The following is a 15,707-nucleotide window of genomic DNA, read 5'->3' on the forward strand; positions in this document are numbered from 1 at the left end:
TATCTAAGGTGTTTTTAGAATAAATGAGAGCGCGCTAGTGGAATGGTTGCCCAGGGCCCAGTGCTTAGCAAGTGCTCCATAAAATAGTGGCAGACTCTTGAGCACCTGCTGGCCGGGAGCTGGACGCTAGGTGGCCTCCGCTAGCCCTCCCGGTTGGTCTGGAAGGCAGGCACAAGTTTCTCAGGAGAGGAAATGGCCTTAGAATGAGCACTGCTCGGTGCTGACCTCCGCCAGGCCTGGAATCCCCGCTGCTGCGCTTCCCGCCGCAGACAGCTCCCGGCCGGCCCCGCCTCCCGGCATGGCCCCGCCTCCCAGCATGGCCCCGCCCCCAGGCGGAGCCGGCGCCGGGAGCGGTAGCGGGAGAGCGGCAGCGGGACCCCAGCGCGGGCGGCGGCGGCTGGGCGGGAGCCCCAGAGGTACTGGCGGGAGCAGGGGACGGGAGGCACTACTGTCGGGCCCGACAGGGGAGAGGTGGCCTAGCCGTGGGCCCGGGTGATGTGTATGGGAGTGGGGTCCTCGCCACGTTCGCCGCCAGCACCCTCCCAACTTCCCTCCGGGCTCCAGCTCAGTCCCGAGTCAATATGTCCAGCCCCCTGTCTCTGACCAGCCGTTCCTACTCTCTCTGTGTGACGGCTTAGCCTGGCCAGCCAGCCGGTGAGTGGAAGCGGCGGCTCCTGACTCCTGGTGGCGGCACTGTGACCCCCTCCCCCTCAACACTGCAAGTGTGTGCGGGGCTCCCCCTTATTCTGAGGCTCCTCTTCTTCTTAGGCGGCCTCCACCCCAGTCCCTGGCCTGGCCTGGGAGGAAACATCTGTCGCGCCCCCTGGCAGCCGAAATGGGGTCATGACCTCCAGATGTGCTGGGAAGTGGCCAGCTCCTCCTCCTGGGGCAGCCAGGCCTTCCGGATCTGTGGGGGCGGGGCCGGCCCTTTCCCCCCACCCCTAGTGACACAGGCCCGGAGGAATGTCCTAGCCTCAATGGACCCTGTGTGAAGCTTCAGGGTGGGGGGCAGAGCCCGAGAACACCCCTCAAGGCAGCGCCAGAGCCTGGCACTGGGCCACAGCAAGAGGCAGCGCACAGGCTGGGTGCACACATGCACAGATCTCACTTCCAAGCGTGCAGAGCTCAGCCCACAAGGAGCGGGGCTTGCACAGACCCCCTCCCTCATGCCCTCCTACTCCTTCACACACTATAGCCCAGGCCCGAGCGCTGAATGTGCCCAGAGCTTGGCTCATGGAGCCAGGGGCTACACCCGTCACACACACACATAGCTAGCGACACTCACCTCATTCTTCTCAGTCTCTCAGCAGCCTTGGGAGGGGACAGAAATAATTAAACCCAATTTTTTTCTTTGTTTTTTTGGAGACAGTCTCACTCTGTCCCGCAGGCTGGAGTTCAGTGGCGCGATCTCGGCTCACTGCAACCTCTGCCTCCCAGGTTTAAGCGATTCTCCTGCCTCAGCCTCCTGAGTGGCTGGGACTACAGGTGCGCACCACCACACCCGGCTAATTTTTATGTTTTTAGTAGAGACAGGGTTTCACCATGTTAGCTAGGCTGGTCTTGAACTCCTGACCTCAGGTGATCCCCCCGCCTTGGCCTCCCAAAGTGCTGGGATTACAGGCCACAGCCACCGCACCCGGCCAGTTAACCCCATTTTAGAGATGAGAAAACAGAGGCTCAAGGTCAGCATGGGAGTTTATTCAGGAGAAATCAAGGTAGAAGCACCTGGGCTGGGGAGCCGACTCTTGCTTGGTTCTGGAGGCCCCAGACGAAGGGTGTGTGGAGCCCCTCCTCCACCCCCCTCCGGCCCAGCCCCGCATGATGTTGCTGGATGCTGCATGAAGACCCACCATTAGATGCCTGTACCCCCAGTGGAGGTTCCCCAGCTCCCTGTCCTCACTGCCTACTCCATCCAGGGCTTGCCTGGGTGTGGCTTCCCTCAAGTTCTCACACCACCATTTGCACCTGCCTCTGGCGTCACGTTTCCGCACTTAGCAGGTCCCTGGGGCTTTGGGTGTCTCAATCTTGCATCCTGTGAGACCTTGAACCTCAGCCCAACACCCACCCCCCAAAACCTACGCACACAGACAGCAGTGGGCAGGTGCAGCCCTGCTTAGGGCCTGGAGATGGGCAGACCCAGGCTCACATCCTAGCTCTGACACGGAATTGCTTCAGGCAAGAGCATCTCCTCTGGACCTCATCTGACCATCTGTCACATGGGGTTCAGACCTCCCTGTCTGCATCAGTGAGACCAGGTAGGCAGAGGTCCCTATGGGTCCCTGTCATTGTGACTCCTCTTGCCCCCAAGCCTGGGCACAGTAGCCTGCAAGAAGGTGAGTTGGCCTGTCCTTCAGGGCAGGGTGACTGGGGTCCCATGACAGCTGCTGTGACCCCAGCACCTTCCTCAGGATGTGGGGGCCTGGCAGAGGGCTGGGCCCACAGTTGGGGCTACTTCCTGTGCTGAAGGAAGTCCTCTTGCCATTCCTGCTGCCCTGCCGCTGCCTCCCTGGGAACCCATGTGTCCTTGTGGTATTGAGGCCTTGAGGTCCAGGGCACTGAGATCAGACCTCTCTGGGTGATCAGCTCTCCAGGGACCCTGAAGGAAGTGGGAGGGGCAAGGAGGAAGGTCTCTGGGGACAGGACGTCCTCCCTTTGTTAAGTGGGCAGGACCCAGACACCAGTGGCCCCTGGGTTTCCCGTCCCAGCCAATACAAGTCATCTGTCCGGTTGGGCTAGGTCCTGGTGGGACCCTTACTCTGGGCCCAGGCCAAAGCTAAGGTGTGTGGGTGGCGACTGGGGGACCCTGGCAGTCCCAGGGCTGCCCAGGCTCCAGGACCCTCAGGACCAAGACCCAACAGCCCAGCCTCTAGCCTTGCCCAGCTAAGCTGGGGAGGGGGCTGGAAACTTTAGCCCTAGGCAGACAAGGAAGTGGCCTGGAAAGCGGAAGCAGCTTTGATGGTCTCGGAGGGGGCCGGAAGCCAACACGGGTGGTGGAGGACCAGGCTGGGGGCCTGGGTTCCTGTTTTCTGCCCAGGCCCCTCTGAGCAGCCCCCTCCTCCTTCAGGGCAGGAACTGCTGCCACAACCTCAGGCTGGGCACCAAACACCCGTGCCCGCCAATGCGGCCCAGCCCCCGGAGAGTCAGGCCCACAGAGCATGCCCATGTGGGCCGGCGGTGTGGGGAGCCCTCGGCGGGGCATGGCCCCTGCGTCCACAGATGACCTCTTTGCCCGCAAGCTGCGCCAGCCAGCAAGGCCCCCGCTGACACCGCACACCTTCGAGCCGAGGCCAGTCCGGGGCCCACTCCTGCGCAGCGGCAGCGATGCAGGCGAGGCCAGGCCCCCCACGCCAGCCAGCCCCCGTGCCCGTGCCCACAGCCACGAAGAGGCCAGCCGACCTGCAGCCACTTCCACCCGGCTCTTCACTGACCCGCTGGCACTGCTGGGGCTGCCAGCAGAGGAACCAGAGCCTGCCTTCCCACCAGTGCTTGAGCCTCGATGGTTTGCCCACTATGACGTGCAAAGCCTGCTCTTTGATTGGGCTCCGAGGTCTCAGGGGATGGGGAGCCACTCAGAGGCCAGCTCTGGGACCCTGGCTTCAGCCGAGGACCAGGCTGCCAGCTCGGACCTGCTGCATGGGGCACCTGGCTTTGTGTGTGAGCTCGGGGGTGAGGGTGAGCTAGGCCTGGGTGGACCAGCATCCCCACCTGTGCCCCCTGCACTGCCCAACGCGGCCGTGTCCATCCTGGAGGAGCCACAGAACCGAACCTCGGCCTACAGCCTGGAGCACGCAGACCTGGGTGCTGGCTACTACCGCAAATACTTCTATGGCAAAGGTGAGGAAAGGCAGTTCCAGGGAGTGGAGGAGGGGGGCTGAAGAAGAGGTCCCTGTCACCTGCAGTGCACACAGTAGGGCTCATGAACTGTCCATTTCCTGTAAAGTCCCTGGCCCTGGGAGGGCTCAAGAGCTGAGCTGGGGTCCTCCTGGACCTACTTTCAACCACCTTCTTAAGGCTAATCCCTGGCTCCTCACCCCCAGCCAGGGCTGGTCCCTCTGCCTCCGTATTGGTTCATCCTCCATCTGGTTCAACCTGCCAGGCTGGGGAGAGATTCCCTATGGGCTTTTCTGTGGGGTGAAAACTCAGGCCTCAAATCCCTGCATCCGTGAACCTTGTTCGCACCAGCACTGCGGAGAGAGGGCTCCAGGACATAGAAGGGAGAATGAGGGCGTGGTGGGTGGAGCCAAGGCAGGATTTAGGCCTGGGAGCTGGCCGCGTGGGTCTAGGTCTGGGTCTGGGTCCACCTCTGGGTCAGGGTTGAGATCAAGATATTGAGCTCGGGGCTACAGAGGGGCGGGACTTAGTCTAGGGTCAACATTTGGTGGTGAGATGAAGCCTAGGGCGGGGCTTAGTGATGCGCGTGGTCGAGCGGGGGCGGGGCTGCCAGAGGGCGGGACCAATCGTTTTCTTCGGCGCGGTCCCCCAGAACATCAGAACTTCTTCGGGATGGACGAGTCGCTGGGCCCGGTGGCAGTGAGCCTGCGGCGGGAGGAGAAGGAGGGCAGCGGAGGGGGCACCCTGCACAGCTACCGCGTCATCGTGCGGACCACGCAGGTGGGCCGGGATCGCGGGATCAGGACGTGGGTTGCCTCCCCGACACCTTGTATGCATCCTGAGTGCCCTTACACCCCTTCCTCAGCTCCGGACACTCCGTGGCACCATCTCGGAGGACGCGCTGCCGCCGGGGCCCCCACGGGGTCTGTCCCCAAGGAAACTTCTGGAGCACGTGGCGCCGCAGCTGAGCCCCAGCTGCCTGCGCCTGGGCTCAGCTTCACCCAAGGTACCACGGACGCTGCTCACACTGGATGAGCAAGTGGTGAGTGGCGGGCCGCGGAGCCCCCAGCCATACAGCTGGCCCCAGTCTGAACCCAGCCTGCCCAGCTCCCAAACCCCTAGCCTTGACCCTGATCCTGGGCTGGGTGGTGACCCCAGAAGAGCTGGCTTTTCAGAGACAGGGCATCAGAGTTCATCTGGAGCCTTGCGTCTCAAAGTGAGCTCTGTAGACCAGCAGTATCCACATCATGTAGAAATGCAGATTCTGGGGCCCCACCCCAGACCATCTGAATCAGAGTTTGCACTTTATTTATTTATTTATTTATTTATTTATTTTGAGATGGAGTCTCGCTCTGTCACCCAGGCTGGAGTGCAATGGTGGAATCTCAGCTCACTGCAACCTCTGCCTTCCGGGTTCAAGAGATTCTCCTGCCTCAGCCTCCTGAGTAGCTGGGATTACAGGTGCATGCCACCACGCCCAGCTAATTTTTGTATTTGTAGTAGAGATGGGGGTTTTACCATGTTGGCCACGCTGGTTTTGAACTCCTGACCTTGTGATCTGCCCACCTCGGCCTCCCAAAGTGCTGGGATTACAGGCATGAGCCACTGCCCTTGGCCCAGAGTCTGCATTTTAAAAAGATATTTGCAGCCCTAGATGCCCTGGTCTGACTCACCCCACTGGTCCTGCAGTTCCCGCATCATTCCTGGCCAATTTCCCCCACAGCCCCTGCTGGGTTTCCTCTAACATGTGGTGCTCACAGCTTCCTGGAGCGGCTCCTTCCATCCCCCACTCCATGCTGAAAGCTGCCCATTGGCTGAGTCTTCTCCTCTGTATCATTCAACCCATCAGTCATTCAACAAACATTTCTTAGACCTTTTTGGTGCCAGGCCTCAGACTGGATGCTGGGGACAGGTCTAGACCAGGTGCTTTGCTTGAGTAGCTCACAGCTGGGTGGGAGAAAGAGACCCACAGAGAACTGCTGAAACACAGGAGCAGTACTGGAACACTGAAAGGGAATGTTGAGGGCTGCCTGGGCCACGACGGTAGTGATGAGAGCCCTTCCTTGGCCAGGGTTTTCCAGCATGGAGAACACAAAAGGGCTCAGGCCCGGATAAGCAGGTGTTTTCTGGTCAGAAGGAATAACTTGTGCAAAGGCTTGGAGAATGAGAGCATGGCACATTAGGCAGTCAGTTCAGCGTGGCTGGGGTTGGGATTGTGGGGAGGGGCGGGGGAGAAGCTTGCATTTGTTCCCGTGGACACTGGGGAGCCATGGAGGGATACGGTGCAGATCTGAGAGGGGCAGCTCTCTGGCTGCAGCATGGGGACTAGACTGTACGGGGCGGGGATGCCAGGCTGAAGGCTATTGCAGTTGCCCAGGCTAGACACAGTGGCAGCGATAGTGGAGGTGAAGAGGAGGTGACAGTCCAGGAAGGACTGGGTAGTCATGTGGCTGACTGGAAGGGGTGAAGTGCTAGGATTTCCCAGCTTCTTGGCCCCCAGGAGTGGTGGTTTAAGGAGGAGGAGCAGGGTGGGGGAGTCACAGCAAGGTGAGACATTAGGCAGCCGGAGAAAAAGGCCCGGGGTTTGGTAGGCCGGTCTGAATGGGAGGCGGAGATGGGGGTGTCATCCTTGCTGCAGCCAGGGAGGGGGAGGAGCATGGGTGGAGAAGAGGCCCAGGCAGAAGAGGGCGGGGTTCCTGGGGCCCTAGGCAAGGTGAGTTTCCAGCTATCCCCAGTGCCACCTATGGCTGAGAGGGTACCAGGATGAGGCCACATCTGGGGACCATATGGGGAGTGGGGGGTGCAGGGGGTTGGGAGGAATGAAATCGAAGTGGGGACTGTAAGTGCAGACAAGTTTAGTTGTAGAAAAGGGAGGTGACCGCTGGAGGGGAGCCTGTGCTGTTTGGAGGAGTTCAGAGCACCTTGAGCTGGGCATGGTTATCCAGTTATCCGCAGAGGGAAGAGCCGGGAAGAGGGCACAGAAATGGGAGCATGGGGGGCAGAGGTGGTGCCTGGCCTGCAGGGGCTGGGGTGGGGGTGCCTTGGATTCAGGGGTGCAGAGGACAGTCCAGCCTTGAGATAAGGAGGATGATAATGTGTATGTTTATTGGAAGGGTCCTTTCTGTGAATCACCTTCTCTACTGCCACATGGGAACCAGCCTCCTCCCATCCCTTCCTACCTGTGCACTCCCAAGCACGAGGAGCACAACAGACTGTACTCACCTGACAGGCAAGGGCACAAGTGGCTCAGAGAGGGCTGGTGCTCAGCCCCAGGCCAGCGTCCCATCCATTCCCTAAGAGCTGGTGGGGTGGGGCTGCAGGGGACTGAGACCTATGCCTTCTGTCTCCCACCCACAGCTGAGCTTCCAACGCAAGGTGGGCATCCTGTACTGCCGGGCGGGCCAGGGCTCGGAGGAGGAGATGTACAACAACCAGGAGGCGGGACCGGCCTTCATGCAGTTTCTCACCTTGCTGGGCGATGTGGTGCGGCTCAAAGGCTTTGAGAGTTACCGGGCCCAGCTAGACACCAAAAGTGAGGCCCAGGGGCAGGAGGGGTGGGAGCAGATCTGTGCTGAAGGGGTGAGCACAAATTGCCTTGTCACTCCTTTGTCCGTACAATCCTGGGGCTGGGGACTGGAGAGTTCTTTGGGTGAGCTAAGGATCTGAGTCAGGGCTATGAGGGCCAAGCTATGGGCTGAAAAGAGGGGCTGGGACTGTCCCTCAAGGCCCAAGTACCCTACTGCCTGAGCTGGGGCTAAAGTGGTTTGGGGGCACTACCCCTCCACCAAACACATTCCAGCAGCTCAGCCTCGTGGAAGAGAGGTGCCCCTACCTCCCTGGTGGAAGGGGCCCCAGGACCCCTGGGAGGTGTTGTACTGAGCACCCCCTGCCTGCTTTTCACTTTCCCAGCATGCCACACATGCTTGGGCCTGGAGTGACACCTGTCCTCCTAGGACACCTGACCCTGCCCTCCCTCTGAGACCACTTCTCATTTCTGTCTTCATTCTATTTCAACTCTCCCATCCTGACCCCCCTTCACTCTGGCATGGGGCTGGAGCCTGTGGAGGGAGAGGAGGAGGGGCACCCAGGGCTGAGGCCCTTGAATCTCGCTGGCTGGGCATTGGCTGGTGGCATGACTGGTTGTCCACCTGCTGTTTGGGGCACAGAGGCTCCTGTGTACAGGCAGGAATGGCAAGTTCAAGCCACTTAGATTCCCCTTGTTTTCTCCTTCTGTGTCCCTAACTTCCTGGCCACAGCGGATTCCACAGGCACGCACTCCCTCTACACCACATACCAGGACCACGAGATCATGTTCCACGTGTCCACGATGCTGCCTTACACCCCTAATAACCAGCAGCAGGTGTGAGGGGGACCAACGTGGGGGTGGGGCTTCCGGGAACCATGGAGGGCCCTGCATGGCCCATGACGTTTGAGCTTTGGCCGGAGCTCTGTTGGCCCCAACAGCCCGCCCCTCTGGTGGCCCCTTCCCAAAGACAGAAACACCCTAGGTCTTCACCAGGGGCAGTGGGGGAGCCATTGGTGCCTTGGCTTTCTCCTGCCTGAATGAGGAGGGGTTTGGGGCACAGAAGACCTCATCACGAGCCCCTACTATCCAACCCCTAGCTCCTCCGGAAGCGCCACATTGGCAACGACATTGTGACCATCGTGTTCCAGGAGCCTGGCAGCAAGCCCTTCTGCCCCACCACCATCCGCTCGCACTTCCAGCACGTGTTCCTAGTGGTGCGGGCACACACACCCTGCACGCCACACACCACCTACAGGTGGGCACCGGAGTGGTCCCAGGTCTCCCGTGGGCATGGAGTCCTGCCGCCCCTCACTAACGCCTCCCTCCCCGCAGGGTGGCCGTGAGCCGCACCCAGGACACCCCTGCCTTCGGGCCAGCTCTGCCTGCTGGCGGAGGCCCCTTCGCAGCCAACGCCGACTTCCGGGCCTTCCTGCTGGCCAAAGCGCTGAATGGTGAGCAGGCGGCCGGCCACGCGCGCCAGTTCCACGCCATGGCCACGCGCACCCGCCAGCAGTACCTGCAAGACCTGGCCACCAACGAGGTGACCACTACGTCGCTGGACTCGGCTTCACGCTTCGGCCTGCCCTCCCTGGGTGGGAGGCGCCGGGCGGCCCCTCGGGGCCCAGGCGCCGAGCTGCAGGCAGCGGGCTCACTGGTGTGGGGAGTGCGCGCGGCGCCCGGGGCGCGGGTCGCCGCCGGGGCTCAGGCGAGCGGCCCCGAAGGCATCGAGGTGCCCTGCCTGCTGGGCATCTCGGCCGAGGCTCTGGTGCTGGTGGCGCCGCGCGACGGCCGCGTAGTGTTCAATTGCGCCTGTCGCGACGTGCTGGCCTGGACCTTCTCCGAGCAGCAGCTGGACCTGTACCACGGCCGCGGGGAGGCGATCACGCTGCGCTTCGACGGGTCCCCCGGCCAAGCCGTGGGCGAGGTGGTGGCGCGCCTGCAGGTGAGCTGGAGTGGTAAACTGGGGCCCCTGCGCGCGGCGGGGCGGAGCCTGCTTTGGACCCCTCCCTCCCGCCGCCTTTGTCCCCTACTCCTGCGGAAGGGAAAGTCGAGGAGGGCAGAGCCAGCCCCGGGGCTTGGCAAGGCCGGAACTGGTGCCCTCGGGTAAGCGACTTCTGGTCTTCATCCCTCGGGCGGTGGCACACGCGGCCCTCGGGGACTGTGGAAAGTTCCGTGTGGCCTGGGACGCAGTCCAGGGGGCGGGCGCTGGGGCGGCCCCACCTCCCGGCAGCCCCGCCCACTCGTCCCGCCCCGTCCGCAGCTGGTGAGCCGTGGCTGCGAGACCCGCGAGCTGGCGCTGCCCCGCGACGGTCAAGGCCGCCTGGGCTTCGAGGTGGACGCCGAGGGATTCGTCACGCACGTGGAGCGCTTCACATTCGCCGAGACGGCGGGGCTGCGGCCCGGGGCGCGCCTCCTGCGCGTGTGCGGCCAGACTCTGCCCAGCCTCCGGCCCGAGGCCGCTGCCCAGCTCCTGCGCTCGGCGCCCAAGGTCTGCGTCACCGTCCTGCCCCCCGACGAGAGCGGCCGGCCCCGCAGGTCAGGGTGCCGGGGACGCGGGGAGGTGGGAGGGCCGGCAGTTGGCCACCGCGCAGTCTGCGCCTCCCGGGTCGCCATCAGCAGTTTCAGGAACCCAGTGTGGATACCTTTCCTTCTGGAAAGAATCTCCCGTCTCTTAGCCCGTCTGAGCCTGTCTCTTCCTGTCTCTGTCTCTCTCTCTTTCTCTGTCCTTCCTTCCTCTCTCTCTCCTCTCTCTTTTTTTTTTTTTTGAGACGAAGTATCCCTCTTGTTGCCCGGGCTGGAGTGCAATGGCGTGATTTCGGCTTACTGCAACATCCGCCTCCCAGGTTCAAGCAGTTCTCCTGCCTCAGCCTCCCTTGTAGCTGGGATTACAGGCATGCACCACCACGGCCGGTTAATTTTTTCTATTTTTAGTAGAGATGGGGTTTCACCAAGTTGGCCAGGCTGGTCTCGAACTCCTGACCTCAGGTGATCCACCTGCCTCGCCCTCCCAAAGTTCTGGGATTACAGGCGTGAGTCACCGCGCCCTGAACCTCTATCTTCATATGTAGAATGGGACCAGTTAAGCGCGTTGCTCCCACTGCTTAAAAGATCAAATAGCAGCCCCCACTATCTTTTTTTTTAAGTATTGGCACCCGCCCACCCAACACACACACTACACACTATTGATAACTTCCTGTGCTAAGCCAGGGGTAGGCAAACATTTTCTGTAAATGGCCAAATAATAAATATTTTAGGCTTTCTGGACCATCTGGTCTCTGCCGCAGCTACTCTGTCGTAGGTAAATGAATAAATAAATGTGCCTGTGTCTCGCTAAAACTTTATAGACACTGAAATTTGGATTTTACATGATTTTAACTTATCATGAAATATTCTTTTGATTTTTCCACTAGTTAAAAATGTAAAATCCGGACCGGGCGCGGTGGCTCATGCTTGTAATCCCAGCACTTTGGGAGGCTGAGGCGGGTAGCTCACCTGAGGTCAGGAGTTCGAGACCAGCCTGGCCAACATGCTGAAACCCGTCTCTAGTAAAAATACAAAAATTAGCCAGGTGTGATGGCAGGCATCTGTAATCCCAGCTACTTGGGAGGCTGAGGCAGGAAAATCACTTGAACCCAGGAGGTGGAGGAGGTTGCCATGAGCTGTGATCGCGCCATTGCACTCCAGCCTGGGCAACAAGAGCAAAACTCCATCTCAAAAAAAAAAAAAAGTAAAATCCATGCTTAGCTCGCAGTACAGAAACTGGCACATCTGCTTTAGAAAAGAAAAGGAAAAGGCACAGGCTGGATTTGGCTACAGACAGTAGTTTTGGGATTTAAGCAATTTACACGTGTTATTTAAATCCTCACAGCACACTATGAGGTTCGTACTATTATCCCCATTTCACAGATGGAGAAATTGATGTTCAGAGTGATTTGCTTGGGATATACAGGGGCAGCACTGGAATTTGAACCATGGTCTGGAAAAATGGCCAGTAACCAGGCAGACATTTTTCACTGTTGTCAGGATGCCGGGGAGCTCTCCTGCTCCTGGAAGTGAGCCTGGCGGGCTGGGGGTGGGGCTAGTGATGCAGGACGCTGGGGACTGGAGAAGTCCTGCCTGACCCTGTCCCACCCCACAGGAGTTTTTCGGAGCTGTACACGCTGTCGCTGCAGGAGCCTAGCCGGCGGGGGGCCCCAGATCCTGTGCAGGATGAGGTCCAGGGGGTGACCCTGCTGCCCACCACAAAGCAGCTGCTGCACCTGTGCCTGCAAGATGGTGGCAGTCCTCCAGGGCCTGGGGATCTGGCCGAGGAGAGGACTGAGTTCCTGCACAGCCAGAACTCGCTGTCACCACGCAGGTGCACACTCTTGGCCTTCCCTCTCCTCCAGGCCTCTGGGAAAGCGGCTTCCCTTTCTGAGCCACCCCTGCTCTCCCCAGCTCTCTGTCGGATGAGGCCCCAGTCCTGCCCAACACCACCCCGGACCTCCTCCTGGCCACCACAGCCAAGCCATCAGTACCCAGTGCTGACAGTGAGACACCCCTGACCCAGGTGAGCAGAAACCAGGCTCTGGAGCCCAACAGCACAGTGGTGACAGTGGGCATCACTGAATCTGTATCCACTTCTGTGGCACAGGACAGGCCAGGCAGTCCCAGTGGCTCTGAGGACAAGGGCAACCCGGCGCCGGAGCTGAGGGCCTCCTTTCTGCCACGTACCTTGTCTCTGCGGAACTCCATCAGCAGGAGTGAGTCTGGACCCAGGAGAGCAGGGGAGGGGTTGGGGGGTGCTCCTGGGCTTCCCTAGCTCAGCCTGCTCCTTGTGCCCACAGTCATGTCGGAGGCGGGCAGTGGGACCCTGGAGGACGAGTGGCAGGCCATCTCGGAGATTGCCTCTACTTGCAACACCATTCTGGAGTCGCTGTCCCGAGAGGGTGAGGCCACCAGGGTGCTGCGGTAAGCCTGGGCAGTGCTCTTGCCCCCTTTCTGACCTGCCCACCTGATCCCTTTGTCCCCACAGGACAGCCCATCCCAGAGAGTGGAGACCCTAAGGGAACTCCAAAATCTGATGCTGAGTAAGCTCCCCAACTCCCCACAGCCGCTTTACCTGCCCACATGACCCCCCCTTCGTGCCTGTCTGCTGGGGTGGAGCTCTGTCCTGGGCTCTGCTGCCACATATGCCTAGAAGACCAGCGGGGCCCCTCTCATTAGCTGGGGCTGGGAGTCAGCTGGTGCACTGCCCCCTGCCTTGGTCCTGCTGAGTCTTGACCCCCATGTCTTCAGGCCAGAGCCTGGGAACCTCTCAGAGAAGGTCTCTCACTTGGAGTCCATGCTCAGGAAGCTGCAGGAGGACCTGCAGAAGGTGAGGGGTGGGCTGAGCTTGGGGGGAGTCACAGGGCTGCCCCAGGAAAGGGGCTGGCGGCTCTGACTCCTGTCTCCCCGGCACCCCAGGAGAAGGCGGACAGGGCGGCCCTGGAGGAGGAGGTGCGGAGCCTGAGACACAACAACCGGCGGCTGCAGGCGGAGTCTGAGAGTGCAGCCACACGCCTCCTCCTGGCCTCCAAGCAGCTGGGCTCACCCACCGCCGACCTGGCCTGAGCCGTCTGGAACCACCTGGGCCCCTGAGGGCACTGTGGTCACACTGGGCCCTCCTCAGGAACTCTCCCTGCGCAGAGGCGTGTCTTAGCACTGCCCCCCTCCCTAGCCCCTTATTTGGTGGCGGAAGTGGCCTCCACCCCTTCCCTGTTTGTAAATATTCTGTGGAGAAAAGAGGACTTCAGGGAGTAAAAAAGCCACTGATGTCTGTGTCTGAACATGTGTCCAAGACAGGGCAGGGCAAGGGGTTTTGCCTCCAGAGGCCCCAGCCAAACTCCTCGGACCAGTCAGGACAGGCCCTGGGAACACTGGCTCAGAGATGGGCTGGCACTCACTGAGGGGTCCCTGAGGCCAGGCCACTGCTTGGCTTCTCTCCCATAACGTTTATTTGGTTCTGCAGGGAAGCAGGTGGCCACACCCCACAGCTACCCTGGCCGTGCATCACAAGGCCCTGTGCCTCAGTGCAGGCCTCACTCTTCTCTCTGAAGCCACTGAGCCCCCAGGCCTTGTCCTCTCTCTACCCACCTGGCCACTTCTTGCAGGGCCCAATTCCAGAGGCGGTGGCATCTCCGCCTCAGTTGACTGGGGCTGTTTCTATGTCCTGGAGGAAACGGGCCCTTGACCCACTTCCCTCCTCACCAGCCTATGGTCCTCTCTGTTCCTCGCGAGGCCAGGCCTTTCCCCGAAGTGGCATCATCAAGTCCAAACTTGGGACTTTGTCTAAATCCTTTGGTTTCTGGACCTGAGGCCCAGATAGGGCAGACTTGCCCAGCATCTCATGCCTATTCCAGTCCCTTCCCTAGGCTGGCTGAAGCTCCATGGTGAGACCTAGGCCCTGGGTCTGTTAACTTAGGTGCTGGCAGGATGAGCTAGGCTCGGAGAAACAGAGCATCTGAGGATCAGGAAGGCTTCATGGAGGAGGTAATATGAGGGCTGAGTTTTGAAGGCTGGGTAGGAGTTCACCAGGCAGAGACGTCAGAGGTATCCTGGTAGGACCAGTCTGGCTGAGGCCTGCTGGACTAGAGCCAAGGCACACCCAGGAACCCAGCGTCAAAGAAGCCAGATCAGAAAGGGTTGTGAAGGTGCACTAGGGATCCTGGGTTAGCAGTTCCCAAGACTGCCACTTTTTCCTGGTTGTGGACTAGTGTGGAAGGCTGTGGTCACTGAGGGTGTGTCTGCAGAAAACTCGGATCTGGTCTTGTGGTTGATGTTTGAAGGGAGATTGATGGGGTGAGATCTGGATGTCAGAGCTCTTTGGCTGCAGGGAGGCGGCTGTAGCCGCAGTCCAGTGGGAGGTCTAGTGGTGACTTAAACTCAGTGATAGCAGTGACAGTGGGGAGAAGTGGGCAGATTTTCCAGGACCTCGTGGAAGGACTGGACGCAAGTTACTAAGGGAAGAGGCGGCATCTACGGTAGTGGCCAGGTTTCCGGCTGGAGCCCTTGGAAGGTGGCAGGGCCAGGGCTGACAGGGAAAAGGAGAGGCAGGCTGGGGATGGCTGAGGTCATTTGGAACAGGATGAGTTTGAGAGGCCCGAGGACGTCAGAGTGGAGATGTCCAGGGGCTGGTGCGCAGGGGAGAGAGATCTGGGTTGGATACGAGGACTTGGAGCTGCTGAGCCATGAGCATGATGGGGTCATTCACGAATGAGAGAAGAACCAGGAGAGGTCTTCGTGGGTCACGGGAGGTCGCGGGACCGAGAAAGCCAAGAGGAGGGAGGCGCAGCCTGGGCTGCAGGGCCTTGGCTCCCTGGTTTCCCTCTGGGCCTCGGGTCGCGGACCTCCGGTCGGGGTCCCTGCGCAGCTCAGCCGTCGGCTTCCTCAGCGTTAGGAGCCTTCTCACCCCGCCCGCTTCCTCCCCGACCCCGCCTCCCAGGCGCTCCCCGGCAGCTTCGCCCGGGTCCTGACCTGGCCACCGCGAGCCCGGGCTCCGCCCCTCGCGTGGGAGTTCCGCCGAGGCCCGCCCTCGCTCCAAGCCCCGCCCCTGGCCGCCCCCCCGGAGCCGGAGCCCCGTGGAAAACGCCACTTCCTCGACGGAATTGGCCTGCCGTCTCGCCGGCGCCGCCCGTCGGAGCCTGCACCCAGGGCCTTTTCTGTTCCTAGGAGACTCGCTGAATTTTGGGACGCGTCCCGCTGACGATAACTCCTTTTCCCCTGCTATTGTCCTCCCGCGACGGTGCGAAGCCCAAACGAAGACGCCATCGGCCTCGGCGGGGATTTTCCCCAGACGCTGGACCCGGCCTCCGGTTGCTGCGGGCTCCTTGTGCGCCTGCGCAGTCGAGAAGGGGGCCCACGCCGGCCAGCGCTTTTTGCTGCTGCGCTTGCGCTGGGGCAAAGCGGAAGTACGTCCAGCTGTAGCCCTTGTGGGCTGCGGCTGGGCCTTTGTTTTGGCTTCCTGAGGCTGTGGATTGAAGATTTCACCGTTCCTCCCAGAACAGAGTATCAAAGCATCGGTGGGCCGGGTAGATCTTTACCTGGCACCACACATTCCCCAAGAGAAGCACACACTCCCTGGGCCACCCAAGGAATTTGGCCCCATCACATCTTTCGAACATCGTTTCTCTTACCTCTGACGCTGGCTAGTCCCTCTTTGACATCCACTCTCAGCTGATCTAAGACCTGGAGCTAATGGGGCCTCTTGGAAGACTCCTGAAACTGCTCCATCCCCACAGCCAGCGGGCTCTACTAGGCTCTCAGTGTGCTAGGACTCTTGCCTTAGCTGCCCGTTTTCATCCACTGGACGGTAACTCGGGGTTTCCAAGGG

At 60.7% G+C, this 15,707-nt stretch overlaps 1 protein-coding gene and 1 non-coding gene across 11 annotated transcripts, besides 5 other annotated features; both read left to right on the top strand.

The window, feature by feature from the left end:
• Positions 178–547: a silencer, noted in NCBI's record as "silent region_3547". NCBI's record gives its function as "represses an Ori minimal core promoter by ATAC-STARR-seq in GM12878 lymphoblastoid cells {active_cell/tissue: GM12878}" and the evidence as "EXISTENCE:reporter gene assay evidence [ECO:0000049][PMID:35858748]".
• Positions 335–13,146, top strand: SIPA1 (signal-induced proliferation-associated 1). 10 transcript variants are annotated; one of them, XM_047427428.1, is made up of 16 exons: positions 335–1,485; positions 3,065–3,834; positions 4,484–4,611; positions 4,697–4,873; positions 7,189–7,363; positions 8,088–8,191; positions 8,455–8,612; positions 8,690–9,299; positions 9,618–9,892; positions 11,496–11,714; positions 11,795–11,906; positions 11,991–12,099; positions 12,184–12,285; positions 12,372–12,426; positions 12,635–12,713; positions 12,803–13,146. In XM_047427428.1, exons 2-16 carry the CDS (start codon positions 3,156–3,158, stop codon positions 12,947–12,949), a joined length of 3,129 nt encoding a protein of 1,042 aa, XP_047283384.1. In that variant the 5' UTR covers positions 335–1,485; positions 3,065–3,155; the 3' UTR covers positions 12,950–13,146. The 10 variants fall into 10 exon arrangements, with proteins under 10 accessions (XP_047283384.1, XP_047283386.1, XP_047283385.1 ...); XM_047427430.1 differs by having other exon boundaries at positions 335–654; positions 769–3,834; XM_047427429.1 differs by having other exon boundaries at positions 335–654.
• Positions 898–967: an enhancer, noted in NCBI's record as "active region_4997". NCBI's record gives its function as "activates an Ori minimal core promoter by ATAC-STARR-seq in GM12878 lymphoblastoid cells {active_cell/tissue: GM12878}" and the evidence as "EXISTENCE:reporter gene assay evidence [ECO:0000049][PMID:35858748]".
• Positions 11,426–11,487, top strand: MIR4489 (microRNA 4489). The gene has a single exon (NR_039709.1). It is a non-coding gene; the product is annotated as a microRNA 4489 (primary transcript).
• Positions 14,735–14,974: a silencer, noted in NCBI's record as "silent region_3548". NCBI's record gives its function as "represses an Ori minimal core promoter by ATAC-STARR-seq in GM12878 lymphoblastoid cells {active_cell/tissue: GM12878}" and the evidence as "EXISTENCE:reporter gene assay evidence [ECO:0000049][PMID:35858748]".
• Positions 15,035–15,514: an enhancer, noted in NCBI's record as "active region_4998". NCBI's record gives its function as "activates an Ori minimal core promoter by ATAC-STARR-seq in GM12878 lymphoblastoid cells {active_cell/tissue: GM12878}" and the evidence as "EXISTENCE:reporter gene assay evidence [ECO:0000049][PMID:35858748]".
• Positions 15,525–15,574: an enhancer, noted in NCBI's record as "active region_4999". NCBI's record gives its function as "activates an Ori minimal core promoter by ATAC-STARR-seq in GM12878 lymphoblastoid cells {active_cell/tissue: GM12878}" and the evidence as "EXISTENCE:reporter gene assay evidence [ECO:0000049][PMID:35858748]".

The sequence above is a fragment of the Homo sapiens genome, chromosome 11 (assembly GCF_000001405.40).
Source record: "Homo sapiens chromosome 11, GRCh38.p14 Primary Assembly".
NCBI lineage: Eukaryota > Metazoa > Chordata > Mammalia > Primates > Hominidae > Homo > Homo sapiens.

Excerpts from the sequence above, each read along its gene's own strand:
- SIPA1 (XM_047427428.1), top strand. The coding sequence starts at position 3,156 with ATGCCCATGTGGGCCGGCGGTGTGGGGAGCCCTCGGCGGGGCATGGCC. Across the intron at positions 12,100-12,183 it reads GCGGAACTCCATCAGCAGGA|TCATGTCGGAGGCGGGCAGT; the intron begins GTGAGTCTGGAC and ends TTGTGCCCACAG. Across the intron at positions 12,427-12,634 it reads ACTCCAAAATCTGATGCTGA|GCCAGAGCCTGGGAACCTCT; the intron begins GTAAGCTCCCCA and ends CCATGTCTTCAG.